Source organism: Homo sapiens, chromosome 19 (assembly GCF_000001405.40).
Source record: "Homo sapiens chromosome 19, GRCh38.p14 Primary Assembly".
Taxonomy (NCBI): domain Eukaryota; kingdom Metazoa; phylum Chordata; class Mammalia; order Primates; family Hominidae; genus Homo; species Homo sapiens.
In genome coordinates this window covers 29,599,170-29,619,008 of record NC_000019.10, presented here as the reverse complement: position 1 = coordinate 29,619,008, position 19,839 = coordinate 29,599,170, and the positions used below count along the sequence as shown (strand labels likewise).

The window sequence follows — 19,839 nt, the reverse complement described above, 5'->3', positions numbered from 1 at the left end:
AGGATGCCATTCCAGGAACGCTGGGTCTAGTCTAATGGCCCCACTTGACAGATGGCGGCACCAAGGTCCCCAAGACTTCAGAACTGCGTGAATGGATCAGCAGAACTCCACCTCCTGCCCCATGGATTAGGGCTTTTCCAGCATCTCTGCCATCTCTCCACTCCTGGCAGCCATATACCCCTTCCGGCCTCTCCTCCTGCCTGCCTGAGCCCAGGGGGCAGACCCTCGCAGGCTTCCCCTGCCTTCCTGGGTCCTCCACAATGCTTCTGCGGGCTCCTGCCCTGAGCCTTGGTGTGAATACACTCTTCACACCCACAGCTGCCTAGAGCCGGAGCCCCTGCTCCAGGGAGACTTCTCTGCCCATCCTGCCCACCTGCACACGCATTTCCTCCCCCATCCAGACTGTGCCTGGCCCCAGCGGGAGGAGGAGTTCAGCTGTTTGCAAAAGTGAAGGGGAACTGGGCAGCTCAGGGGCCCCGGGTACTGGAGGGAGCAGCCCTGGACCCAAGTTCCTGTATGAGCATGTCACAGAATCCAGTGGTGATGGCAGCTCAGGGGCCAGCATTGGGGCTGGCTGGACTGGCTAGTGGTCCAAGCAGCCCATATGGGGGAAAGAGAAGGCCTGGCTAGTGTCTGAGGTTGGGAGTCAGGTAGCTGTTGGAGTCTTTCTGGGAGGCACAACCAGGCTGTCCTGGCTGGGAAAGCTTCGGGGTGGCTGTGGACTGACTTGGGTCTCCAAATTCATATGATAAAGCCCTTGCCCCCACTGTGACTGTCTGGAGACTTTCACGAGTTCATAAGAACACGGCCTGATCCAATAGGACTGGCGTCCTTCTACAAGGAAAAGACCCGAGGGATCACTTTCCTTGCACACAGGGAGGAAAGGCCATGTGAGGACAAGAAGGGAGAGGCCTCTCCAGAAACCAGCCCTGCCAGCACCTTGATCTTTGGCTTCCAGCCTCAAGAGCTGTGAGAAAATGCTGCAGCCCCAGTGTGTGGCATTTTGTTATGAAGATTAGAGCAGATGGATACATCAGCCATGGCCCACGCTGTCCTTTCGCTGTCCTTTCTCCTCCAAGAACCTCATCCTTTCCCCCGAGGCTCTGGCCTATCCTCTGCAGACCCTGTGTGGCAGCTGGGCACTGGGAAGATGTAAAGGGCCCCTGGGCCCCACTCTTTGAGCAGTGGGTCGCTGGGCTGATGTCTCCCAGTCCTGCAGCCTCTGGGTCCTGTCCTGAGTTGCTAACCACTCTCTCCTCTTTGGCACTTTCTCTGGTGCATGGAGGCTTACACAAGTCGAATGTGGCTCTGTCTCCCGTGGGACCACATGGCCAAGGCCTCAGCTCTGCCAGGGTCCTGCTCCTTGGACAGTGGACATGGGAGAGATCGGGCCAAAAAGCACCACATTACCCTCCATGACAAGCTGTGCCGCAGCCTGTGGAGACATGGCAGCCCTGGCCCCTGCCACGGCCCCTGGGCCTCAGATCATGCTTTCTGCAGCTGTTCCTCATCAGGAACCATGTCCCGCCCAGCTGGGCCCTCCCCTTTCCCTCCTCTACCTGGGAGATATGACCCCTGGGTGGGCCATGAGGGCAACAGTGTATCCTAGAAACAGGCAGGCACAGCGGCAGCTTAGTGGCCGGTGAGCACCCTCACCATGTCTCCTTGGGGGAGAGGGAGAGGTATCTACAAATTAAACCGCCACTCACACAGAAACTTGAGTCTGAGCTAAATGAAAAACAGATTTCACATGGCAAGTGGTACCTACAACTTTTCTGGAAAGCAACTGTGTATTTACACAACAGTGGACGCCTTTTACATTGCAGAGGGGCGGGTAAGAGCGGGATGGCTAGGAAGCTACAGCACCTATTTGGTTATGAACACAGCATTTTCAGATGGCTGGGGGAATAGATGCCACTTCCCACTCAAGACAGGGATTTGCTCAGCGGGAAAGCAGGTAATAAAGGCAGCACATCCTGCACTTTGAACTGCATCCGTCTCATCCTGCAGCCACCCTGTAGCTCAAAGCACAGTTCTGGAGCCTATTAGGTCCAAATCTCAATCTACCCTTGAGTCAGCGAGGCCTTAGGCAAGAGGTCCCTCGAAGTCTGTCTTCCTGTGGCAGATGAGGACGGCCACACCACAAGGCAGTCGCTGGGCCGGGGCCCGTGTCCGAGGTGGCAGTGTGCTTGGGCTCCATGTGCCTAGCCCGTGCGTGTGTTCATCACTGGCAGCGGTGACTGCGTGCTGCTTGGGGGAGAGCACTTGAGCTGCCTCAGAACACCCTGGTGAGCGGAGGACACTTGCATGGATGGAAGCAGGACCGAGGCACCGTGTTGGTCCCTGTGAGACTCTGGGTGCACTGAGCTTTGGGGAGGGGTGGTGGCACAGACCTGGGCCTTTCTACTCTCCTGGCACACAGCAGTCAGCGCTCCCACTTCCCTTCTCCACTACGGTGTTTCTCTCTGGTGTGGTTTGGGTGGAAGTTACCAGAAACGCAAAGCCCTGGCACTGCTACTTCTCCTGGGGGAGAACAGATTTGTGGCCTGCCTTTCGCCAGGAGGGCTCCTGGCCTTGCCTTGCTGATCGGCAGAGACTTGCTCCTCAAAGGGAAGGGGTAGTTGGTCCTTCTGAGCCATGTTTCCAACCCATCTGGTAGGCTGGTCCCCTGCCCCGCTCTCACTGCAGCCCTGGGCCCGCTTTTCCTCTGGCCCTGCATGGAAGGGCCTGACCCACTGGCTTTACAGACACATGGTCACAGAGGGCCAGGGTCAGACTGAAAAGCCAAGTCTTTCAGCAGCAAAAATGGCGAAGATATCAAAGGGCGTCAATGCTGCTGGCTTGGCTTTTGCAGCAGGTCTCACCTCGGGAGGTGATGCCGGGCGACCTCCTTTCAGTCCTCCATGGCTCAGCCTGGCAGCTCAGGAGTGGGCATGCTGCGGCAGGTCCCATCTCACTACGCTGGGGCAACCATGCATGGGCACAGCTGCATGCAGTACTCTGCTCCTGGGGTCCACCCCAGCTATGATTCCTGAAGTGAATAAACCCTAAGTCACTTAGCAACTCACCCTTCAATCCTCTTCAACCTTCCTGAAATAGCAAAGTAAACCTTAGGTGGGTCAGAGTTCCACCCAAAGGCGAGCCTCTGTAGACACCTGCCATCCAATGGACCTTTGGGGACCCCCCTTCCCTTTCAACCTGGCTGGACTGCAGCAATACCTCCTTTATTTGATCCCTGTTTATGTCCACATATGTACTGTATTATCACAGATGCAACTGATTTATCATAGAGCACTCAGAAAACATGGAAAAGTATTTTTAAAAATCGAATAATCCTATTCAAGTCAACCAGTGTTAACCCCGGTGTGCTTCCTGCCAGTCTGTTCCTCCCCATGGGAGTCACACAAAATGAAAATCTCCTAGAAAGAGAAATTCCTCTGTCCTCTGACTTCTTCACTTAGTACGCTGCGACCTTCCCATGTTGTTCAACATCCTCAACTCGGAGCGTCACTGGCTGGAGGTGGTCTATAAATGGAATTGGCTTAACTATCTCTTCACTGAAAGGTGGACATTTAGGGAGTGTCCAGTTTTCAGCTGTCATAAACAACTGCCTTAGACGGCAAAGAATTCACAGGTCAATCGTTCCCTTCGCTTTGAACTTCTTCGCAGACCGTTCACTTGACCGAAGCTGGAATTTGCTCCCGTAAATGTAGGAAATAAAGCCATCGGTTTCCACAGTGAACACGCAGTTTAGCTTGGGGATAACTGAAAAAAAAAAAAAAAAAGGCAGGAGAAAAAAAGATGAGGAAAAATATTTATTAATATTTTACTTTTAGGTAGAATATTATTCAGAACACATTGAATGAAAAAAATAAGCTAATAGGAAACGGGAAACCCACAAGGGGAGGGGCATTAGGGTTGCCTGTGGTTATTCTGCCACAGGTCAATCTAGTCACATGCTAAATGTAGCTTGGCACCTAATCTTCAGGGTCAAAGGCTATACACCAAATTCCCAGAACCAGAAAGTCCCAGAACACCTGCCAGAAACTGGTTTTCCCACATTAACTTTCAGATGGGCTCCTGGCCTTATGCTCTGTGGAGAAACTATTACACCACTTTCCGAGGTTTACAATGTGAGGTAGAAGGATATGTAGGAAAATAAGGGAAGCAACAAGAAAAACCAAGCTCAAAAATTAAAGGAAGAAGGCTGGGCGCGGTGGCTCACACCTATAATCCCAGCACTTTAGGAGGCTGAGGCAGGTGAATTACTTGAGTTCAGGAGTTTGAGACCAGCCTGTCCAACATGGTGAAACCCTGCCTCTACTAAAAATACAAAAATTAGCCGGGCGTGGTGGCGCGTGCCTGTAATCCCAGCTACTTGGGAGGCTGAGGCAGAAGAATCCCTTGAATCCGGGAGTGGAGGCTGCAGTGAGTCGAGATTGTGCCACTGCACTCCAGCCTGGGTGGAAGAGTGAGACTGTCTCCAAAAAAAAAAAAAAGAAAAATTAAAGGAACAAAACCTTCTAACTATGGTTTGATATCTCTGGATTTGTGGGTAAGGCGGGGTGTAGAAATCCTGGCTGACCCAAAGTATCTGCTAGAGCAATGCTGGCCACGGATGGAACCCAAGTGTTATCGCCAAGGACACAGCTCAGAACTCCAGGGACAGGCGCCACTCCTGTTTCTACCCTGCTGCCTGTTTGGCTACATTCCTCTGGGAGCAGCAGCCTTTGGGGCAGGTGGAGGCCCTCTCCTGGGGCCTAAACAGACCCAGGTCCCCTGAGGCACAGCCGAGCAGGTCTTCCTTCCCCTTGGCCATTTCTGGCCGGGGTTGCAGGCTGCACTGACACACACCTCTTGGGGGAGCCACGGGTGCAGGGGATGGTCTCTGCAGGCTTTAATGCAGGTTCAGCAAGTATCTGCAATCTGCGCTGACTTGAGGGGTCAAATCAAACTCTTGGAGCCTTGAGGAAAAGGCTAACGCAGTAGCTGGGAGCCACAGCCCGCAAGCAATGCCCTCAGAAACACCTACATACCTTTCAGGCGGTCTTCTTTGGTGATAATTTTGAAAATGTGCTTTGTTTCCTGTAGAAGGATTCCTGTAATACCCACATAAGAGGGGCATTTGGATTTTGTCACTGCAAAGAAAAAGGACAGTTCCAGGCTCAGGCCTCTGTGGTGCTGGGGGAACCACAGAGAAGCAGGCCTCAGGGGTTGGGGGTGCTGATCCCACCCTCTGAGCTAGCAGATGAAAGAACAGAGCACCCAGGGGGTGGGGGCTCAACAGCTGGGCCCTGATGTAACCAACAAGAATCCAGGCTTCCCCTGGGGCTTTGCAGCCTCTGGACTGTTCCTATGAGGTGTCCTTCGGAGGGTCTGTGGCCACAGGGGTCTTGGGCAGGATTCTGGAATTAAAGGTCACATATGTGCCCAGCACCATCAGGGCCCACGGGCTGGCTGCTCTGATGCAGCCAGGTCTCCCTTGCAGGATCTGCACAAACACCACCATGCACTGCCCAGGATGCTGGCTGGAACGTGAGTGTGGCTGCAGAGCTGCCCAGCAGCCAGCACTGCGAGATGAGCCACCATCACAAGCAGCAGCCCCTCCCTCGTCCTGACCCGAGCCTCAGTGTAGCGGACAGAGTCACCAAGCAGCTGTGGAATGCCTGCACCATCCTCAGGAGATGCCAGGGACACAGCACGGAAAGAGGCGGTCCTGGATCCTACTCTCACGGAGCCCGGGTTCTAGCAAGGCAGGGTGATGCACGGTGAACCACACCATTCTACTTTCTGACAGCAACGAGTGCTATGAAGAGTAGGGACAGGGCAATGTGTGGAGGGTCATGGTTTGCAATGGTAGACCCTGAGGGGAGTGGCATTGGAGCAGGGCTGAACAATGAGAAGCTGGACTGTGCACACACAGGAGAACTCCCGGGTAGAGGTAAGGAGCAGAGGCGAAGCCCTGAGGCAGGGCAGGAGGAAGGCAGTGTGGGAGGCCTGCTGCCCCAGGGAGCGGGGAGGCCTTAGACCACAGCAAGGAGGCAGGTTTACTCCCATACGATGGGACGCTGCCAGAAGACTTGAAGCAGGGAAGGAACGTGCTCTGATTTCTACGTAACCGGCACTCTGGCTGCCTGGTGCGGTGAGGAGCTGTGTCTGAGGTAATCTGGGGAATGACAGTGGCTGAATTTAAGTAGTAGGATGTTCCGAAGGATTCGAGGAGATTAGGAAAGAAGAAACATAGACACTGTTTAGGTTTTTGGTCTGAACAACCAGTGTAAATAACTGAGTAATTAACTGAGATGGAAAAGACCAGGAGGGGTTGCTGTGAGGAGAATCGGTGGCAGCTTTGGCTATGTAAAGTCTGAGATGCCCCCTGAACATCCAGGTGGCTATGTCAAGTGGGCAGCTGGATGCCTGAGCCTGGAGTTCAGGGGACAGGCCTACGCTGGAGATGTCACCTTGGGGGCTGTCAGGTGTAGCTGACATTTGAAACCACAGCATTGGATGAAAGGGATTCTGTGTTCAAGATCCCAGGCCGTGGGTGAGTGCTCGCAGCCACTGTGCCCTTTAGGGTACCAACAGGGGTCCCTGTGTGGAGAAGGTACACAGAGACCACTTAGGGTGTGTCCAGCAAATGGCCGGACTGGCTAAGACAGCCAGCGAGAAGCATCTCCCACCCTTAGCGTGGGGATGATGGTGACTGGGGGCCATCTCAGGGAATCCACACGGTAAAGAGTGTGTCCAACAGAACACACGCCCTGGGTCTCCACAGAGTGACAGAGTGAACCTCTGGATGGCCATGTGCTACACGCTCTTAGGTAAATTACCTGAAATAATAGCCCCGTGAAGATCTGCCTTTAAGAGCTTGGCCTGAATCATCTGTGGCTGCCTGCAGGGTAAACAGAAGCCCTTGGTTTACATCATGATAAAAAGTTCCAAAAGAAGCAACTAGGTCTTTAACCGTCTGCAGCCAGGCAATACCAACGCTGGTTCCTGAAGCCGCATTTACAATGATCAGAGGCTTGAGATCCACCCCAAAGAGCAAAGCTTCAGGAATGCAACTTACGTGTCTGGCTTGAGCCCACTGCACAGGTCCCTGATGTACTGTTTCCAGAGTTCATGGAGAGGGAGGAAAAGGCTGTATCTGCAGCAAAGTCAGAAACAGGGAAAAAGTTAGACAACATGAGCTTGGGATGACAATGTCCAAATAGCACAGAGCTTGACTTGATGCCAACAACTGCAACCTGGGATCATTAGGAACTATGTGCAAATCCGACGATGAGCAATTGAGCTGATAACCGAGACCAAGAACCTACACCTCTCTAACCTCAGTTTCCTCATTGGTAGGACCACACCAGCCCAGGGCGGTGTCCACCTGGACTTCTTTTCATGAGAGAGAAATAAACGTGAGTCTTGTTGAAGCTACTGTTATTTTGAGGTTTTCTGTTACGTGAAATTGAACCTAGTAAGCCCCCAGTAAAGCAGGGGTTGCTGGTTGTCACGCAGGTCCTCATGTGAGGCAGCAGGCTGGTCTGGAAGGTGGGCAAGCAAGTGGTGGGGAGAAGAAGCGGGGAGCAGGGGCAAGGACCCCAACAGCGTTCTTCTGGGCCATTATCTCCAGTCTTGATATCCTGTGGGGAATCCGTTACCACAAAGCCTTAGGTTAGAGAAATGAGGACCTTAAGCTCAAACCCAACCTGGGCTCCACCCGGGAGGCAAACCCTGGGAGGCAGCAGCCCCTTCTCCACCTGAGGCCCAGCTGATCTCCTGAGTGGGGCCGGGAACAGCATGGCATACTTTAAGCGTCTTCTGGAGCGTGGGAGGCTATTTGGCCGTTGATCTCCAAGCAAAAGCCTACAGACAGCCCCAAGACACCCACACTCAGACCCGTCACCAAGGAGGGATGGCGGGTCGGCTGGAGGAAGACATCCTCCCACAGGACAGGACAGTGATGCATTCCTTTTGGAAACTTCTGAAACGTGTGGGCAACATCTTGCTTTGGCAATGAAACCCGAGTGGGTGACTGTCTGGCTCTATCAAAAGCTACAAAGTAATACACACTAAAAACATATCAGTTCCTCTTTTCTGTCTAACAAAGCCGAAGGACAAACAGCCTGTTGCCATGGGCAACAGATGTACTTGCACGGGTCTTACTCCTGAAGGTGAGGAGAGAGGCCAGACAATGAGTCCTGTCTCACCCGCCTCGCTGAACACAGCCCAGATTGGTAAAGGAAGGCTGCCCTCTTGTGGCAGACGACAGAGAGGCCCCCTTAGCTTAGGTGGAGCCAGGCTGCCTCCCCAGCCACTCAGCCAAGTTCACACACCAAGAAGGGTAAGCACCGCGGGCAGAAAGACGTGGGGAGCTCGGGTTACCTCTGCTGCTCTGGTTTAATGTCAAAGAGCCGCAGCTCCCTCCTTTGCCTGGCAGAGAGGCCTTTGGCTTTCTTCTTCTTCTCCTTGCGCTTGTGGCGGGTGAAGTACTCCAGGACCACCGCCTTGCGCTGCAGCTGGTCCTCGCGGGCCTGCGGGCTCATGCGGGGCGTGCTGCGCTTCAGGAAGGCCCTCACGAAGGCCTCGGCCCGCTGTGCTCCTGAAGGCTGCAGGCGGACAAGGGGGTGCGGCGCTCACTGCTCCGGTCTGGGCAGCCCAGGATCCCAGGCATCCCGCCCGCCATTCCCGGCAGCTACTGCAAGAGCAAATGGGGCCCATCCCTTTACCTACTGAGGCTCTCAACCTGCTCATCCGCCATGCATCTGCTACCCACAGCTGCCGAGATGTAAGTCACACTCACACACCAATTCATGACCGTTTGTCACACACAACAGCGTGTCAAACGCTCACTTCCTGCTCTGGCCCTGCTTTTCTGAGGTTATTCTGAAAGGACCAAAACCTTTCTATCTTGAAGAAGAATTCTCTCATCCTTGGCAGAAGAGAAAGCTTGAGAAATGTATAACAAATATATTCAACCAGGCATGACCAGATGAAAGTGAGCTCAGAGTAGCACTAAGCTATGGAGGAAGTGATCCTAACACTACAGAAAACAGCAAAACTAGGGCTCCAGGGTCGGCCAAGCCTCAGGGCGCAGGGACCCTGACACTGTGCCCTTAGGACAATACTCCTTAACCGGGTTTCCAGCTCTGTGGGCATGGTGTGGCCACTCTCCAAAAGGTCCGCTCCCGCCCCGCAGACCATCACTTGGAGGAAGGTACCGTCGAGAGCATCTCAGGCCCCAGGCTCGCTCTCTCTGAAGGGTGTCACTGAGAGCAGGGCGTCAACTTACCATGAATGAGCACAGGCTCTTAGAGAGGACTTCTGGGAAAAATGACTGTCGTAATTGTGTGCAATTCTCAAACAAACAAACAAACAAACAAACAAACAAAGAAACCCTCCAAGCTCACTACCTCTCAGGTTGGAGTTCCAATAACGGATTCCTCATTTGGTGGCAATGCCACTGCCCTCATGCCTGCCACAGACCTGGGCAGTTCTCTCTCCTGAGGGCCTGTCTCCTGGCTGGGCTGTTTCCTGAGCTCTTTTTGCACTAGCCAGGTGCTAAATGCTAAGACTGAGGCTGACAGACTGATGCTGATCTGTCAATAGTAACGCAGCCTTCCTTCTGTGGGAGAGCAATGGGGATGGGAAGATAGGGTACATATAGCCTTCGAGGGAGCTCACAGTATGATGGTGGGAACTCTGCTTCAGCTTTGCACCTGTAGATGCTAACTAAAAATTAATTCACTCTCGTCATTGTGACTATAATAGGACAATGATCTGATTCTCTTAAATACCTGAGTGGCTCATCTTTCATGGAGAAGCAAAATAAAGGTATACTGGTCTTTCAAAATCTTGCTTTCAAGGTAATGCTCTCATTATGAGCCACAAGAGGAACTTTTGCAAAACTGACAAAGCAGGCCGAGGCATTCAGATATAATCTGTAAATTTCACTTATGATATGTGATTGCACACCTTCTGCAGAAGTGCAGAGGGCACAGTGACAAGGTTGAATGATGCTGCCCACCACGTGGGCACAGCCTGGTGTCCCCAACACAGTGGGAAATGATAAAAGGTTAAGGAAAGCCTCATTTTACCAAACTTGACTTTGGCACAACAGAAAAGGAGGCTGGCACGTGGGAACAGGTAATGAGAACTACAGACTTTGATCCAGCCTTAGATGTCTGCCAGAAAAATGAGGAGTATGATGTGGGAAAGGACATCTCAATCAGTGCTGGGGGCTCAGAAGCTACTGAGCCATCTTTGCCATCACCTCTGTTGCTCCTGGACTCCCTGCCAAGAACTGACCTGGACATCGGAGTCATTCGCCTCTTTCTGAGACAATGCATGGTAGATCACACCTGGGGGATTAAAAAAAAGAAATGATCAATTCTTGTTGGGTATGGCTGTAAGACCCAAGACTTTTCTAACTATGAAAATAACTACGCCACTAGGCGCAGTGGCTCATACCTGTAGTCCTAGCACTTTGGGAGGCCAAGGCGGGCGGATCCTGACCCAAGGTCAGGAGTTCAAGACCGGCCTGGCCAACATGGTGAAACCCCGTCTCTACTAAAAATACAAAAATTAGCCGGGGATGGTGGCTTGCACTTGTATTCCCAGCTACATGGGAGATTGAGGCAGGAGAATCGCTGGAACCTGGGAGGCAGAGGCTGCAATGCGCCAAGATCGTGCCATTGCACTCCAGCCTGGGTGACAGAGTGAGACTCTGTCTCAAAAAAAAAAAAAAAAAAAAAAGAAAAGAAAAGAAAAGAAAATAACTACACTTCTACACTTATAGCAGAACAACTGCTTATTCAGAGATAGGAGAAGATGAGGTTGGTATTAAGAGCAAAGCTTTCTTGGATGCCTCTTATCCCACCCTCTGGCCACATCTATGCTAGAAGTTCCAAGCACATGGTTTAAAAAGAATGCTTCTCAAAATTTAACGTGTGTAAAAATCTCTGGGATCTTATTAAAATGCAGATTATTGGTCTCCTACCCTAGATCCTGAGTGTTTAACATATTCCCAGATACTACTGCAGGTCAGTGAATCACATTTTGAGTTGCATTGGTTTAAAATACCCCAAGTTAGAAGCTTGAGCACTTGCTAACAAGGTAACTCATTAAAAGTTATATGATATAGCTGTCTAGGATGTAGATGGTTAGAAATAGGTTTTGTTAACTGTAAGATGTTTAAAAAGATTCTTCACATTTTAATATGAAATTATAATGTGTCACATAATCGATGGTGTCCTGAACTGATAAAATACAAGTTTTTCCTTTAAACTCAAAATATACATTGGTCAATAAAGTTTCAACCTCTAAAATAAATTCCACACTTCTGTTTCTTAATTTTTTGAAAGAAGAAAACCATGGCACTGGGGACAGAGTACAGGTGTGAATGGAATAAGAATGGGACTACTAAGGCCTGGTTTATGAGCTAAATAGCTAGAAAATGTAATTTACACTATACTCTGTAAATTTAATTCCAGCTTTCTTGTACTTCCCTGAGAATGTTTGATGCAAGGTGGTTACAAGTTTTTTTTTTTTGTTGTTTGTTTGTTTGTTTTGATACTGGGTTTTGCTCTGTTGCCCTGGCTGGAGTGCAGTGGCACAATCATAGCTCACTGCAACTTCGACCTCCTGGTTTCAAGTGATCCTCCCACCTCAGTCTCCTGAGTAGCTGAGACTACAGGTGTGTGCCACCACACCTGGCTAATTCTTTTTTTTTTTTTCCAGTTTTTGTAGAGACAGGGTCTCGCTATGTTGTTGCCCAAGTTGGTCTTCAACTCTTGGCCTCAAGTGATCCCCCTGCCTCAGCCTCCCAAAGTGCTGGGACCACAGGCGTGTCCCACCACACCCAGCCAGGTATGTTTGTTTGATCAAGCAAACCAATGTGGTTGCAAGTTTTATATATAGCATCTAGTTCTCCCTCAAATGGAAGATGGGGATTATAAACTGTAGAGAGCAACTTGCGGGGCCTGATAACTTTGCTTCATCTGTTACAGGTGCTTAGTAACAGACTTGGAAGTCTTTCTGCAACAATACACATCTAACAATTACTGAACATCCATTACTTGCCAGAAACCTCATTACAAGGTACACATATTTTTTCTCATTACACTTATGTGCATGAGCAAACTGAAGCTCAGACATGCCGAGACAATCTACTTGATCATATAGGTAGAAAGTGGCAGAGATGAAAAATAAAAATTCTGATTGAAGGCCCAGTCTTAACGGTGTCTACACGCCCCTCCTTGGCACATGTCTTCTACCCCTAAGGACCAAAGCTTTGGGTTAGTGATATCATTCCCCAGCAGCTCTCGGCGCTTTGCATCAGGTTAAGAGTGTGAAACCAGCTCGCAGAAAGGAGCAGGATCTTGACCGCGGTCACCCCGGGAGATAGTGGCCAAGTTGAGCCAAGGCCTGGAACCCTCCTCTAGCATCGCACACCACTGAGCAGCCTCCGGGAGAACCTGCCTCCAGCCCTGACATCCCTCCCTAGCTCAGAGGTCGAGCCAGGCTAACCCGTGCTCCAGCCCTCAGTTTTTCTTAGGTAGGGTGGGCCCATTCCTGTAGCGGTTCTGTTAGGACTCCGCAGCAACAGGTAGCCCGGACCCATTTCACCCACCAGTACCAAGACCCCGACCCTTAACGTCCCCAACCCTCTCCAACTTCGCGGCCCCGCTTACTCTTCATTCTCGGACCGCTTCCGGCGCTCTCTGATGACGCACTGGCAGCTGCTGTCGCAGACTCTCGGAGCTCGGAGATGGCGCTATGCGTGACATCACCGGCGCTCGCCCACCTCGGGGGCGCATGCGCCTGGAAAGGGATTCGGCTACTGAGAACGTCGTAGGCGGTGTTGCTGAGCAGTGGGGAGGAGTGGGCTCGCTTCCTGGGGTCTTTTCCGCCTGCATCTTTTGGGGGACAGGCAGTAGGGTTGGGGTAAAGGCATGTGGAATGCTTGCTAAGGCCTGGAGTGGAGCGAGGCGAGGCGACTTGGAGAGGACTCGAAGGAGGTTGGGGATCTGGGAGGGCGGAAATGGGACGGGGACGGTGGGGTGAGGTCTTTGTCGTCCCTAATCAGCGCCCTTACGGATGAGCCGAGGCAGCTTCCGCTGTGAGCACGGGCACCGAAGCTGGGACAGCAGGCTTAGGTTCTAGTTCCGTGTCTGCTGCTAACTAGCTGTTTAACCTCGCTTAGGGCACTTCCCATCTGTAAGCCTCACTTGCAGTCTGTGCTGTGAGTGGGGTCGGCCTCACAGGTAGTGATGCGCCGCCTGGGTCCCTTTGATAGTTTCAGAAAGCTTTCTTGAGACTCAGAATATTTATTAGTTTTTATCAATAAAAAAATCATAGCAATAAGATCAAAGGTGGCTCACACCGTGGGAGGCGCAGGCGGGAGGATCTCTTGAGCCCAGGAGTTCGAGACCAGCCTGGGCAACATCGGGAGACCCCATCTCTACAAAACATTTAAAAAAAATTATCCAGGCGTGGTGGTGCGTGCTTGTAGTCCCAACTACTCGGGTATCTGAGGTGGGAGGATCAGTTGAGCCCAAGGAGTTTAGGGCTGCAGTGAACCTGGATTGCGCTACTGCACTCCAGCCTGGGTGACAGAGTGAGACCCTGTCTCCAAAATAAATAAATAAATTCCATATAAATAAATAAATGAATAAACAAACTCCATTGCTCAGTGGAAAGGTGCAGGAAGGCCTGGTGCAGACTTCTCAGCAGTGACCCAGTGTTGGGCAGAACTGTGGAGCCCCAATTTCTGCTGAGCACTGGGCCTGTGCTGGGTGGGAGAGAAAAGAAATACGGTCCCTTTATGCTAAGTCAGTGGTTCTCAACTTTGAGTACAGTATACATTTCTTTACAGGGGATTCTGGGAGTATGTCCAAAGGTTTTAGTTTGAGAAACATTGGCTTAAACAATTTCTTTGGTGGTGACCTTGTACCATTTTGATTTTAAACATTAGACTGCAGGCACTGAAATTGGTTCATCCCAGTGACCCCGCGTGCATTGACTTTATAAAATTTATGTATTAGTTTTTGCATATGTAGTACACTTATGCATTTATTTTATACGTATAAAATTTGGAAAGACCACATTTAAACCAAAACATGCTGCCTTTGCAGATGCCTGAAAATTGTAATTTATGGGACTGATAGAGAACTTTTATTATTTTTAAAATTAACCAATAAGAATTGTATGTATTTATGGTATACAATATGGTTTGAAATGTGTATACATTGTGTAATGGCTAAATGAGCTATGAGCGATGCTAATACACTCATTTTGTGATGAGAACACTTCAGACCTACTCTCAGTGAAATTCAGGTTATTAACTGAAATTCACTGTTATTAACTATAGTCACCATGTTGTACAATAGAGCCCTTCACAAATGTGAACTTTAAAATCAAATGAGACAGCAGAAGATGTTAGCCAGTTTCAGAGCTGTGTACTCAAGGGGGGCCCTTTTAGGCAAGACCTCTGTGATTATGGAGATTAATGAGAAGACCTGTGTCTTTGAAAGTTTTTTTCTAGGGTTGTTAGGACTCTTAACTCCCAGTTGACTCCTTCTGGGATCCCTGGATAACTGCCAGTCTCCCCTCGAATTCCCTGATGGTGGTGGGGTGGGTCGTCCTTGAGTTGCAATTACAACATAGTTCCTTCATCATTAAAATATTTTTTTTTTTGAGACGGAGTCTTGCTGTGTTGTCCAGGCTGGAGTGCAATGGTGTGATCTCGGCTCACTGCAACCTCTGCCTCCTAGGTTGAAGTGATTCTCCTGCCTCAGCCTCCTGAGTAGCTGAGATTACAGGCACACACCACCACGCCCAGCTAATTTTTGTATTTTTAGTAGAGACAGGGTTTTACCATGTTGGTCAGGTTGGTCTCGAACTCCTGATCTCATGATCCACCCGCCTCGGCCTCCCAAAGTGCTGAGATTACAGGGGTGAGCCACTGCGCCCAGCCTAAAATATTTTTTAAAAAGCAAACAAACAAAAAAAATAAAAAGCAAACAAACCACTTGATTATTCTCAGAAAATGTTTCTGTATGCAGAGAGATACCTGTGAGGATGTTTGTGATTTTTGTTTATAATAGCAAAAACTTAAAAACAATGCTATATTTGATCATAGTGGATCAAGCAAATTAACTATGTGCTAATTAGGTAATTAGGTATGCTAATTAATGCATTATTAAATGCATTAATTTACCTGATTAGTTAGCACACACTTAATTTGCTTGATCCACAGACCAAATACAGGATCACAATCACAGGGTAAGCTTTCATTTCAAATTTCTTGGTATCATACCTGGAGATTCGTTTTTATCCAGTGGGTCTCAATAATCTGTTTTTATAAGGTGGGTCCCAGTAATCTGTTTTTATAAACTGTTCCTAGGTATGGCACATTTGTTACAGTAGGTAGGTAGTCAGGTATGAGCAGGGCAGGAGAAGGCTCCCCGCTACACACACCAGGGGTGTTGGGCCACCATCAGGTGATGGTCAGGTGGTTGTTAACTGTTTCTCTAAAGTAATTGGCCACAGCTGGCGCTAGGGAACAGGCAGCCGCCTAACAGATAGAAAACACCTGAAACTGATCAGCAGCTTCCTGTAAGATCTCAGGAGTGGGGAGAAGTAATGTAAGATCCTGGAAGTAGATCCTGGAAGTAGGCCAACGTGTAAAACCCCAAGTCAAGGGGTCAGGCTGCGCTCTTGGTTTCTCAAGTTGCCTGCTTGTCCTTCCAACTTGTATAATACTTTCCTTTTCTTTCCTTTCCTTACTGTTCAAAAGCTTTGCTTTTTTTTTTTTTTTTTTCCGAGACGGAGTCTTGCTCTATCTCCTAGGCTGGAGTGCAGTGGCACGATCTTGGCTCACTGCAACCTCCACCTCCCAGGTTCAAGCGATTCTCCTGCCTCAGCCTCCCAAGTAGCTGGGATTAGAGACACACACCACCATACCCAGCTAATTTTTGTATTTTTAGTAGAGATGGGGTTTCACCATGTTGGTCAGGCTGGTCTCGAATTCCTGACCTTGTGATCCACCCGCCTCGGCCTCCCAAAGTGCTGGGATTACAGGTGTGAGCCATCATGCCCGGCCTAAAGCTTTTTAATAAACTTCCACTCCTGCTCTGAAACTTGCCTTGGTCTCTTTCTGCTTTTTGCCCCTCAGTCAAATTCTTTCTTTTGACAAGGCAAAGATTGAAGTTGCTGCGAACGCGTACGGATTCGTCTCCAGTTACTTGGGGTAACTCGGTTCTCTGCCACTGCTAACACATTTCTATAACATGATGGATTACCATGCAGCCATTAAACAAATTACATACAATTTTTAAAAAGGTTACAAACTAATAAAGCCAAATATATACACAATAGTTACATGAATATACTAAAAGTTTGTATAACCGGGTAAGTGAAGTTATGGGAGATTTTTCCTTTTGTTTCTCTTTTCTAAATTGCATTTGGTGAAAAGACTTTAATTTTTTTCTTTTTTATAGCTATAAATGATAAACTTTCAAACATGGATACACATGTGTTTTCCCAGTAGTGGCTTTGTGAAAGTTCCACGAGAAGTCAATGTTTGATGGAATCATTGCAGGTGACTCCCCTCCGACCTCCAGCAATTTATTATGAAAAACTTCAAATATACAGAATAATGGAAACATTTAAACAGTGAACACCCATATGCTTTTTGATTCTACAATTCACACTTTGTTGTATTTGTACAGGTTCCTTTTGATTGTTGCTCTGAGACATTCAGGCTGCTATTCTGAGTATTCAAGAAAAATCTCATATGTAAGCTCAAAAAGATTAAGCCTCAACTATTAAGTAAGTGGGTATCCACGAAAATTAGGACTTCTGTAAATAAACACAACTAAATTTACAGAAACCATTTATCTAATAGCCTCTGACAATATAGTGGAGAAGTATTTTTTTGTGTATCCCCTCTCCTCCACTTTCGGATTAAAGAAAAACATTATTTCTAGTTTTTTTTTTTTTTTTTTTTTTTTTTTTTTTTTTTGAGATGGAGTCTTACTCTGTTGCCGAGGCTGGAGTGCAGTGGTGCGATCTTGGCTCATTGCAGCCTCTGCCTCCCAGGTTCAAGGGATTCTTCTGCTTCAGCCTCCTGAGTAGCTGGGGTTACAGGTGCTTGCCACCACGCCCGGCTATAATTTTGCTATTAGTAGAGACAGGGTTTCACTATGTTGGCCAGGCTGGTCTTGAACTCCTGACCTCAAGTGATCCACCCGCCTCGGCCTCCCAAAGTGCTGGGATTACAGTCCTGAGCCACCGTACCTGGCCTCTAGTAGGTTTTTTTTTTTTTTTTTTTTACCGCTGAAAGGTCATGATCCTGAATACCAGCAAACCTGCAATAAGAACATGGAAGCCTTCATTGTCAGTGAAAATTTTAATCCACCAAGTCAATGAAGTCAGTATATATATGTACATGTATGCACATCTGTTTGTGTGTATTTGTGTGTGTATATAAATATACACAGTTTTTTTCTTGCTTTTTGGGTATCTATATCAGGTACATTTGAGAGGGATGAGGCCTGTATGCTTTTTCTACAGGAAGGCCTTGTCTATAACATGGGTTGCTAACAGCACCTTCTTCCCAGGGTGGCCTGGAGCACTCAGCAAGATGATGCATGTTTAAACAGGGCCTGGCACAGGTAATACAGCTTGAGAGATGGTAGCCATCATTATCTGTGTCCTCACTAGGACAGAACAGTCCCTGAGGCTCAAGATTACATGCTCCCCTGGCTCTGCTATGCCCTTGATCCAGACGTTGTGTATTGACGAGGAGGGCTGGTGAGGGTGGTGGTGGAGAGCCTGGGCACAGCGACATCAGCCCTCAATCATTCCTCAGGCCTAATAGTGCCACAGAGATAGGCGGTAAGGTGCCAGCGCTAACACTGGACACTTCTGCTGGTCAAACCCTCTCCTGCTGGGTGATAGGCACTTTGTCTACAAGAATCAAAGAACTGGTGCTTGCCGGAAGACAGCGTATCAGCTCTTTGTAAAGAGGCAGCGCTGCGCCCTAAGTCAGTTTAAGACTAACCATTTGGAATTCTGACAGCGGGGACTCTTAAAACTTCGTGTGTCTGGTCACATATCAGTCTCTGAAATCCAAGTTTTCTAGTCTTTCAGCCTCCAAAAGTCACTCTTTAAGGCTAGCTTGATCCCAAATGTATAAAATGCAACTATAGATTTCTTCCAGCTCCCTGGCCCGGTGTTACTCTGTGAGCTGATTGCACTGAGGAAAGCATAGTTTCGGCTAATGGAGTGTCTGTCTGGATAAACGTAGGGCTCTCTGTGTCCTAAGAGAGCTTCTTCACTGCATTTCTCAGGTTTGCTGAGACACTTGAAGGGTTTGCAGAAAGTCACTGCAGGCTGCATGGGAGTGTGTGCATGTAGCTAGCACCTCCTGCCACCTATTTTGACCTGTGCTTAACTCTGGGAAAGCAGCCATTGACTCCAGACCTAGGGGCTATGTGTTTATATTCGTATAAGTCTGTTTAGGTCAAAATATGGGAAAGTAAGAGAGAAAGGACCTGATGTAAAATCACCCAAACTGGAATTGGGGCACAGCAGGGAAGCACAGAGATCTGGCTTTGTGGTGCCTGAATCCCAAAGCCATGCTGCGGGCAGGGGACACACCTCCCCTTCAAGATATTTGAAGCCAGGCTGGGAGCAGTGGCTCACGTTTGTAATCCCAGCACTTCTGGAGGCTGAGGTGGGAGGGTCACTTGAGGCCAGGAGTTTGAGACCAGCCTGGGCAACATGTGAGACTCCATCTCTACAAAAAAATTAACAAAATAAAAAATTAGCCAGGCGTGGTGGCACACACTTGTAGTCCCAGTTGCTCTGGAGGCTGAGGTAGGAGTACTGCTTGAGCCCAGGAGGTCAAGGTCAAGGCTACAGTGAGCTATGATTGCAACTGCACTCCAGCCTGGGCAACAGAGTGTGACCCTGTCTCAAAAAACGAAAATGATTTGAAGCCAGAGGGGATCTGAAGCTATTTAAACCTGATTCTGTGCAGAGGTCAACCCCTCAGCAAAGCTTCCTGAAAGGAAAAGGGGTGCCTTTTCTGGGAGATGGAAAGACCCTTTGGTCTTCTCCAGTCTCTGCTGTTCTTTAATATACAACATCCAGCTTGAAATATAAAAAACAGTGTATACGACACCCACAGAAACAGGACACTGTGACCCACAATCATGGAAAGAAAGTCACTAGAGCAGAAGCGTAGGTGACCCAGACGCTGAACTGGAAGACGAGGCCTTTAAAATACTATTATAAATAGATTAACAAACTTAGAGGGAAAGATGGGTCAAACAGGTGAGCAGATGAGGAATTTTCAGCAGAGGCATGGAAATTCAAAGCTAAAAAATACTTTCAATGTTCCCTGTGATGGTAAATACCTGCATGTTCCGATTTAACAAATTTTTTTTCCTTAGAGACAGGGTCTTGCTCTGTTTCCTAGGCTAGAGTGCAGTGGCTTGATCATAGCTTACAATAGCCTCGAACTCCTGGGCTCAAGCAATCCTCCCGCCTCAGCCTCCTGAGTGGCTGGGACCATAAGTGCATGTCATCACGCCTGGGTAATTAAAAACATTTTTGTAAAATTGGGGGTCTCACTACGTTGTCCAGGCTGGTCTTGAACTCCTGGCCTCAAGCAATCCTCCCACCTTGGCCTCCCAAAGTGCTGGGATTACAGGCATCAGCCACTGCACCCAGGCCGACTTAACACTTTTGTAACTACTGAGAATACTTCCCCAGACCATATACCCTCTTCCTATGTTTTTTTTTTTGTTTTTTGTTTTTTGTTTTTAGCTTTTTTTT

The 19,839-nt window shown here is 48.9% G+C and overlaps 1 protein-coding gene across 2 annotated transcripts, besides 2 other annotated features; it reads right to left on the bottom strand.

Annotated features, from left to right (window-relative positions):
* Positions 1-1,771: 1,771 nt before the first annotated feature.
* POP4 (POP4 ribonuclease P/MRP subunit) lies at positions 1,772-12,726 on the bottom strand. 2 transcript variants are annotated; one of them, NM_006627.3, is made up of 7 exons: positions 12,684-12,726; positions 10,300-10,352; positions 8,377-8,600; positions 7,070-7,147; positions 6,831-6,892; positions 5,037-5,138; positions 1,772-3,765 (listed from the first exon to the last, which is right to left on the bottom strand). In NM_006627.3, exons 1-7 carry the CDS (start codon positions 12,688-12,690, stop codon positions 3,629-3,631), a joined length of 663 nt encoding a protein of 220 aa, NP_006618.1. In that variant the 5' UTR covers positions 12,691-12,726; the 3' UTR covers positions 1,772-3,628. The 2 variants fall into 2 exon arrangements, 1 of the variants encoding a protein (NP_006618.1); NR_027368.2 differs by lacking the exon at positions 8,377-8,600.
* Positions 8,604-9,115: an enhancer, noted in NCBI's record as "H3K27ac-H3K4me1 hESC enhancer chr19:30100801-30101312 (GRCh37/hg19 assembly coordinates)". NCBI's record gives its function as "activates a minimal SCP1, AML or CMV promoter by ChIP-STARR-seq in naive H9 embryonic stem cells {active_cell/tissue: H9 hESC(naive)}" and the evidence as "EXISTENCE:reporter gene assay evidence [ECO:0000049][PMID:30033119]".
* Positions 12,584-13,073: an enhancer, noted in NCBI's record as "active region_14407". NCBI's record gives its function as "activates an Ori minimal core promoter by ATAC-STARR-seq in GM12878 lymphoblastoid cells {active_cell/tissue: GM12878}" and the evidence as "EXISTENCE:reporter gene assay evidence [ECO:0000049][PMID:35858748]".

What these genes read in the sequence shown, in the direction of transcription:
- POP4 (NM_006627.3), bottom strand. An exon ending in AGTGGGCTCAAGCCAGACAC is followed by an intron (nt 6,893 to 7,069) that starts GTAAGTTGCATT and finishes TTTACCCTGCAG; the next exon opens with GCAGCCACAGATGATTCAGG. An exon ending in TCACGGGGCTATTATTTCAG is followed by an intron (nt 5,139 to 6,830) that starts GTAATTTACCTA and finishes TTTTCTTTGCAG; the next exon opens with TGACAAAATCCAAATGCCCC.